The sequence below is a fragment of the Homo sapiens genome, chromosome 13 (genome assembly GCF_000001405.40).
Source record: "Homo sapiens chromosome 13, GRCh38.p14 Primary Assembly".
In the NCBI taxonomy this organism is placed as follows: domain Eukaryota; kingdom Metazoa; phylum Chordata; class Mammalia; order Primates; family Hominidae; genus Homo; species Homo sapiens.
The window spans coordinates 34,895,424-34,903,685 of record NC_000013.11 but is presented as its reverse complement, the minus strand read 5'-3'; the positions used below and the strand labels follow the sequence as shown (position 1 = coordinate 34,903,685).

General features: G+C 38.2%; 3 annotated features.

Moving 5' to 3' along the window:
- Window positions 1,125-1,874: an enhancer, noted in NCBI's record as "NANOG-H3K27ac-H3K4me1 hESC enhancer chr13:35475949-35476698 (GRCh37/hg19 assembly coordinates)". NCBI's record gives its function as "activates a minimal SCP1, AML or CMV promoter by ChIP-STARR-seq in naive H9 embryonic stem cells {active_cell/tissue: H9 hESC(naive)}" and the evidence as "EXISTENCE:reporter gene assay evidence [ECO:0000049][PMID:30033119]".
- Window positions 2,625-3,374: an enhancer, noted in NCBI's record as "OCT4-NANOG-H3K27ac hESC enhancer chr13:35474449-35475198 (GRCh37/hg19 assembly coordinates)". NCBI's record gives its function as "activates a minimal SCP1, AML or CMV promoter by ChIP-STARR-seq in naive and primed H9 embryonic stem cells {active_cell/tissue: H9 hESC(naive and primed)}" and the evidence as "EXISTENCE:reporter gene assay evidence [ECO:0000049][PMID:30033119]".
- Window positions 3,080-3,374: a silencer, noted in NCBI's record as "tiled region #402; HepG2 Repressive non-DNase unmatched - State 24:Quies". NCBI's record gives its function as "represses a minimal TATA promoter and a strong SV40 promoter by Sharpr-MPRA in HepG2 cells {active_cell/tissue: HepG2}" and the evidence as "EXISTENCE:reporter gene assay evidence [ECO:0000049][PMID:27701403]".

Sequence of the window (8,262 nt, the reverse complement as noted above, 5' to 3'; positions counted from 1 at the left end):
TAGTTTATATTGAAGCACTATTTTTTAATAGTCTCAAAGACAATGACATTTTGATACTCCAATTAAACAATATTGCAATAATGAATTATAAAAATTCAGAAGGAGTCTGATTGCTGAGTTTCAGGCATCAACATCGTGTTGATGAAGAAGAGATTTGGGGCATTGTGGGGAGATTTTTTTATATCAAATCCTCTATATGTGGTCTAAAATCACATATAGGCCAACTACTACCTATTCTATTGACTCAAGTAGTTGATGTTAGTTACTGAGTTAGCAATTGTTGGAAACTGGGAGCTTGCAGACCATTGATTACTTTGACTGAAATTTTGTCAGAAGATTATGAGAAAACAGAGTGAATTAGTAGGTAAGAACTTATCTATTTGCTAGCATTTTTCTATAAGAAATTCCTTCCAAAGTAAACATAAGTGGACGTTTAAAAATATATATTTCTTAACATTCAAATGCTCTTACCTCTAAGATATACTTGTGGAGGATAACATTTTTCAATTACTTTCTTGGGTTCAGTTTCCCTATCAAGAACTAAAACACTAAAAATAATTAAATGTTGTAGGTTGTTTTCCAGTGTTGGTTTTTATTGTTTCTCTTTAAAATAAAGTATCTGAAATTTGTATTTAAGGTCATTTTTATTCCAAAGTAAACTCATTTTGATATATTAAAATGAGCTAGAATACCAACTCAGATTAAAATATTTATCATCTGGAGCCTGATTGGTCTAGAGTAGTACAACTTTGCTCTGATATTTTTACATCACAAGAAATCTGAAAAAATTATAACAGGTGTCTGAGTGATAGATCAGTTACTCTCCTCCTGTAGTGTTGAATGCATTGGCTTGATTTATGCCTCATGAGTTATAAGCAAAGACACCTGATGACCTGGCAGGACCCCCACCCCACCCCCGCCTCCGCCATTCGCTGAAAGTCAGTGCTCCATTTTCCCAGGCCTTGGGGAACAGTAGATGAGAGAAGCACACTTGAATTAAAGAGCTAAGAAAGGAGGAGGAGTAACTGAAATCATTTATTCAAGCACCAACACTAACCTTCATGGGGATTGTTTGGTTGGGGAATTGCAAATACAGGCCTTGTGTACCATCATTCAACATTGATAATTTAACACATGCTTTTTCTGCAGACCTAGAAACAGCCTCAGAATCCTAAATGTAGTGCTCACGGCAGCCACTGCTAATAAATCAGAGGTGACATGCAATTTAGAAATTATTTGCCATCCTTGTTCCACATCTTATTTAAAAAATTTTAAACTCCCACAAACACCATGAAATGGACAATGAGTGACAGGATCAAAGATGATTGTTTCAGAAGTCATAGAATGAGAGCCCCCAGGCAGAACCCAGGCTACAGATAGCTCTTGTTTGGTGTAATTCAACAGTGGTTTTGTTTGTTTGTTTGTTTGTTTGTTTTGGGGGGATTACTAGTTGTCAGCATTAAAACATCAGGAAATTTCATACAAATATTTGGATTGCTGTCTTGTCTTTTACGATAAGATTTGGAAACACTGGACTGTTATTTCCACATTTCAATGACTGGCTAGATCTGAGAATTCGCTCTCCCCTAAAGACACACAAGCTCACAATTGCTGTGGATCTCACTTATCTAACTTCTCGCTGACATATGTGACCGGAGTAGCCTCTGTAGGCATCTGAACGTACAGCCCTTCCTTGTTCAACCATGACTCTAAGTCCCTGTGGCACCTGCACTCTGTCACCAAAATTTGAGGTTTGTGAATAAAGAAAGGGACAGGATTTGCGGGCCCTTTTTGAGGTGCTAAGGTAGCTCAGAGATGAGCAATGAGGGCAACGAGAATTCCTAAGTTAGCTTCTTCCCTGAGGGTTCAAACCCTCAAAGTAGGGCACAGAGTTCTCAGCCAGGAATGAAGAGTCCAGAAGGCCCAGATCCCCTCAGGTGTCAAATGATTTCATTTCAGAGAGTCTGGCGTGGTGTCAGCAGCCTTGCATCTGTCAATGAGATGTCATCGTGAAGCAATTACGAACACAGCCAGGGGTAAGAAAAACAAAAATAGATCCAAAAAAGGTTTCATGAGGGTCTATGCATTTAGAAGAAATGGTTGCTCAGAATACACTGGCCTAAGCTTCAGGGAATGCTGAAGGATGCTTCTAACTCCTTTTGTGTGCTACGGAGTTCTTAAGACAGCTTAGAGATCTCAGATGCAACAGGGTCAAGAAAGCTTAAAAATGATGAGTTCACGTCCTTTGTAGGGACATGGATGAAATTGGAAATCATCATTTTCAGTAAACTATCGCAAGAACAAAAAACCAAACACCGCATATTCTCACTCATAGGTGGGAATTAAACAATGAGAACCCATGGACACAGGAAGGGGAACATCACACTCTGGGGACTGTTGTGGGGTGGGGGGAGGGGGGAGGGATAGCATTGGGAGATATACCTAATGCTAGATGACAAGTTAGTGGGTGCAACACACCAGCATGGCACATGTATACATATGTAAGTAACCTGCACATTGTGCACATGTACCCTAAAACTTAAAGTATAATAATAATAAATAAATAAATAAATAAAATAAAATAAAATAAAATAAAATAAAAAAAGAAAATGCGAAATCATATATTAGTCATAGGAGTTCTAAGTGCTGTAGTTTCTGGGTTCTTATCTTTAGCTTCCTTGCAGTTCTTCTAAAACCCCAGGCATGCTCCAGTCTCCAGGCCTGTTCCTTCCATTAGTCTTTGCCTGTAACACTCTTCCTTCCTTTGGAACTTTGCCTGAATGACTTACAGCTCTCTCTACCCTAGCTCCAAATCTCCCCTTTTTCCTTTTTTTTTTTTAATAGTATTCACAGCTATATAATACACATTTAACTTCCTCATTTTGTTCAGGACAGGTGCTCCTTTTACTAGTTGGATGAGGGGAGAAAGTTTTGTCTTTGTTGTTCATTGACAGACAGAGCCAGGTACACAGTCAGCACTCAATTGGGATGAAAACAACTTGAATGCAATAAATGCATAGCACTATGTCTTGCAGACTATGCAGAATTGTATCAGATTTCCCAGACCCATGGGTTTTGAAAAAAGCCGGAGGCATGGATGACAGAGTGTAATCTCCCCAGTCTCTCACATTTCATTATTTAAAAACTGCAAGAAGTCTTTATTAGGTGAGAAGTGGAAACTCCAACACACCTTCCAGGCAATGGGTTTCTTTGTTATGGAGATAGATACCTTTAAGTTATGCAAATGTAAAGAAAAGACCTCTTGAAATAGAGAAGCAGGTCGAAGGAGCTTAAATGGCTTTGGGGAGGAGAATGTGAAAGGCACAATGGTTCAAGACAGACTTGCCACTTTTCCCTGCTTGAAGGAAAAAGAAGCAGGAGGTCTTTTTTGTGTGTGTGAAAGACAAAATATAACAACCCATTTTAACCTTGGGAAGAGGCTCTATATTTTACAGTTATACCAACTATTCTCTATAGTTTTAATGGAGTAGAAAGCCAATGACAAAAGAAAAGACATTTCGTTTTCCTGCTTTAGGTGGTGAGGTAGATGGCTGTTGGAATGATACCCTTGGTAAGGTTAAAGGCTAAACTCTAACTTAGGTCGTGAACGTATCTACCTTCAGCAATTGCAGCTCCCCGCATCAAGGCAGAGGATGGCAGTTGTTCTGTGCTCTAAGAAAAGTTGCTCGGTTGAAAAAGATTGCCTCTAATTTACTCGAAATCCCTACTTGGAGGGATCTATGAGCATGAATTAGTTTATATTATGGGTCATTATCACTTAGTGTTCAAACCTTACACAGCAAACAAAGCCTGTTAAAGGCATGAAAAATACTTTTAAAATAATATGCTCATCTATTTTACTATACCGTGCAGCAATCATCATAGGAAGTTAACAAGAAAAAAATCAAGCACAACTATTTAAAAATGACTGTATTTTGTGGTACAAGTCTATGGCGTTCTGGAAAGATGGTACGGTAGAGGAAGTAACATCTAGTGTCAGGTTATTCCTTATTTCTATATGCAGTAAAAAAAAAATAATGTCACCTAAAAAAGGAAAATAATAGAACCCAAAAAATTAAGTTCCCAAACGAATGAGTACACCAGTTAATACTCCTTGGCTAGTGAACAAAAATTGCAACATCACAGGGGAAAACAGAGTCAATAACCTGGAAAGGAAACTGTATTCTAAACCTGTAATTCTACAGATGGAGTAAAGATATTTCTGGAAGCTGTGAAGAAGATTAAGTAAGCAACTGAAAGAAACTTGATGAGAACAACATGTGTTTCCCTATGCATGAAAACACTAACTGATTAATTACAACACAAGAGAAAACAAGAGACCTAGAAAATAGTTGAGGAAATCTATCAACAAACACTATGGGTAGATGAGGAAATTTTAAAATGAAGAAAGTCTCATTTGAGGGATAATTTAACTTTTTGAAAATAATTAGACTGGCAGCACATCTCTTCAAGGGTACATGAAGCTATTAAAATATCAAAGACAATTAAAATGCATTTGGCAATATTTACTGAAATATAATAGTGAAAGAAGAGTAACAAAAACTAACAATGTGGTTCATAACTGATGTTTTATCATAACTGATTAAAGCTTATTACTTAAAAAATAAATTAGGCCAGGCGTGGTGTCTCACGCCTGTAATCCCAGCACTTTGGGAGGCCGAGGCGGGCAGATCACGAGGTCAGGAGATCGAGACCATCCTGGCTAACACGGTGAAACCCCGTCTCTACTAAAAATACAAAAAATTAGCCAGGCGTGGTGGCGGGCGCATGTAGTCCCAGCTACTCAGGAGGCTGAGGCAGGAGAATGGCAGGAACCCGGGAGGCAGAGCTTGCAGTGAGCTGAGATCGCGCCACTGCACTCCAGCCTGGGCGACAGAGCGAGACACTGTCTCAAAATAAATAAATAAAATAAATAAATAAATAAATAAATAAATAAATACATTTATGCCAATTTTATATGTGAGGTTATGAATACCCACAGTCCAAAACGGTCAAGAGAGGAAAGATATTTTAGAATCTTGATTTCCTAAAGGGAGATGGCATATTCCCCTTTTTGTGTGGGAAGACACCAGAGATCCAAAGTGAGAAAAGAACGAAGGGTTAGGACAGAAGATGTTTTGAAATACCCATGAAGCATTCTTTCCTACCACTGGAAAATTACTGTGTGCAGTGAGAAAATTTTGAAGGAAATGGGTTGTGCTTGTGAACGATGTAAAGTCAGGAAAAAAAGATGAAGGATATCTGGTTTTGACACAAGTAAAAATGAACAATTAGAAGTATACATTTCACTGACTACTCTTATGCAAATGAACAGTTCTAAGGTAAAATGAAATTGGAAAAATAAATAAGGCTCATTATTTTAAAAGCATATATGCATGTAGATCAAGGATAATCAGAAGCAAATGGCAACATGAAAATATACCTACATACAGGTTTTTAATGTGTGTGTGTGTGTGTAGTTATATGATAGTGATACTAATCCTGAAATCGATACTATAGAAAAGGAGGACAAAGGATGGGGACGAAAATATCGCAGAGCACTAAAATAACTCCAGGATTGTTTGGGCTGTGGCCATGAGGCTGGACTTCTGAACATGTTTCTCTGAGATGCTTTGGGAAGAACTCTTAATATGGCTTAAAATTCATACTCTTGAAAGTTGCCCTTCTGATGAATTTGATCTTTCCTAAGGGAATATACACTTGTGAAGGGATTTTATAGTTGGTAGCAGATTCACAGACTTTTTAGTCATAAAGCAATGATCCAAATTTTAGCTTTTGGTGAATTTTAAATGGTGGCAAATTTGGGGAGTGGGGCATTGAAAAACATAATGGAGTCTAATTGGTTCATTTATCATATATAAAAATCATGTAAAAATATGATAAATATATACATATATTTAATTAATTAATTAATTTTTTCTTTTTTTGAGACAGGCTGGAGTGTAGTGGTGCAATCTTGCAACCTCCCAGGTTCAAGTGAATCTCAAGTGTCAGCCTCCTGAGTAGCTAGGATTACAGATACGTGCCACCAAGTCCAGCTAATTTTTGTATTTTTAGTAGAGACGGGGTTTCACCATGGTGGCCAGGCTGGTCTGAAATTCCTGTCTTCAAGGGATCTACCCTCCTCGGTCTCCCAAAGTGCTGTGATTACAGGCCTGAGCCACCGTGCTCATTTATCATATTAAATCTCATAAGAGAACCCAATAAATGCAAGGGGTAAGACTCATTCTTACTCACTTCTCTGACTGCATCTGCTGGAAGTTTCCAGCTCTTGGCTCATCTAAGATTTGTGAATTTAATCCTTGCAAAAAGTCTTCCAAAAATTAGCTACTTGTTTGTTTTGTTTTTTTGAGATGGAGTCTCACTGTGTCACCCAGGCTGGAGTGCAGTGGCTTGACCACAGCTGACCACAACCTCCACTTCCTAGGTTCAAGCAATTCTCCTGCCTCAGCTCCCTGAGTAGCTGGGATTACAGGCTTGTGCCACAGTGGATGCCTGGCTAATTTGTTTTTGTATTTTTAGTAGAGATGAGGTTTCACCATGTTGGCCAGGCTGGTCTCGAACTCCTGACCTCAGGTGATCAGCCTGCCTCGGCCTCCAAAGGTGCTGGGATTACAGGCGTGAGCACCATATCCGGCCAAGCTACTTGTTTTGACTAACTCTTTGTTTTTGTTTGTTTGTTTGTTTGTTTTTGTTTTGAGATGGGATTACAAGTGTGAGCCACCGCGACTGGCCTTGACTAACTCCTTATTGCAAAAAAAAATTTATAATCTTTTGTGAACTTATTTCTGTATCAGTTACACAGGATACAGCAAAAATGGTATTTTTAAAAAATAAGAGGAAATAACCGGCCATATTATAATAGGAAAAATAGAAACTACGTTTTTTAACTGATGAAAGATATTGTTATTAAAAAACAAAATGGTGTGCCCACACATTGTAAAGTACACAAAACAAGGATTAACAATTATCCTGAAAATGTATCTGCTATTATTTTATGTACTTTTGATTCTGTTCTGTATCTTTCCTTGAACTTGGACTGAGGGTGCTTGGTAGGTAGAAGAAATACTCATGGAGTGAAAGTAAGAACAAATAAGACTTAGTGTAAATATTATGGGATGGAAGAAGTTGGAGAGAAAAAGAAGGTTGCCAAAGAATTGCAAAGTATGCTTACCTTGCTGGGCAACAGATTTCATAGCTGCAGATTACAGTTTTGAATTTAAAAGAGCTAACTGAACCTTAGTGAAAATATAGAAATATTGGTCCAAGGAGATTTTAAAGAAAATCCTGAGTCATAAAAGCCAGAAGGGATTCCTAAACGAAGACATGTAGCAACAAGTCAAAAGATGAAATTTGTCTATACTGCTAACGCCTATGCTCAATAAAGTCACCTGGGAATTTATTGGAATATGCAAATTATTCTGGAATTTGAAAACTAGAGAAGTTTAATTTGTATAATTGATAGAAAAAAAAGCAAATGTGAACTGGGGCTGGCAAATGGAATTGCAGAGCTGTGGGTCTCTGTTTTTGCCTCAGAAACAGCTTCAAAATCATTTTTATAACTTGCATTGGTGGGGTTTGGGCAGAGTAACCTCATGCATTTCTGACAGAACAGGATCGCAGAGCATCCAGAGGCCTCAGGTTCTTGCCATTAGCTAAGACATGTGATTCTGGCCTTTATCAATTTTGGTTTCCAACCTGTAAAATGAGGAGCTAGGACTAGGAAATTTCTTTTCTTTTCTTATTTATTTATTTATTTATTAATTTTTGAGATAGAGTTTCGCTCTTGTTGCCCAGGCTGGAGTGCAATGGCGCAATCTCGGCTCACTGCAACCTCTGCTTCCCGAGTTCAAGAGATTCTCCTGCCTCCTGAGTAGCTGGGATTACAGGCATGCACCACCACGCCCAGCTAATTTTGTATTTTTAATAGAGATGGAGTTTAACTGTGTTGGCCAGGCTGGTCTCGAACTCCTGACCTCAGGTGATTAGCCTGCCTCAGCCTCCCAAAGTGCTGGGATTACAGACATGAGCCACTGTGCCCGGCCTAGGACTAGATGGTTTCTAAGGTTCTTGTTGGGCGTGACTCTATGTGTCTTGTTTTTAGTTTACTTAAGTAGACTTACATTGAAATGTCTGTTTAAGTTTAGCTAAGGAGAACTAAAGTGGACATGCCAGATTCTGTTAATGAAACCAATAAAAGGTTTCTGAAAAAAAAAAAAAAAAAAAAAAAAAGGCTCCTTA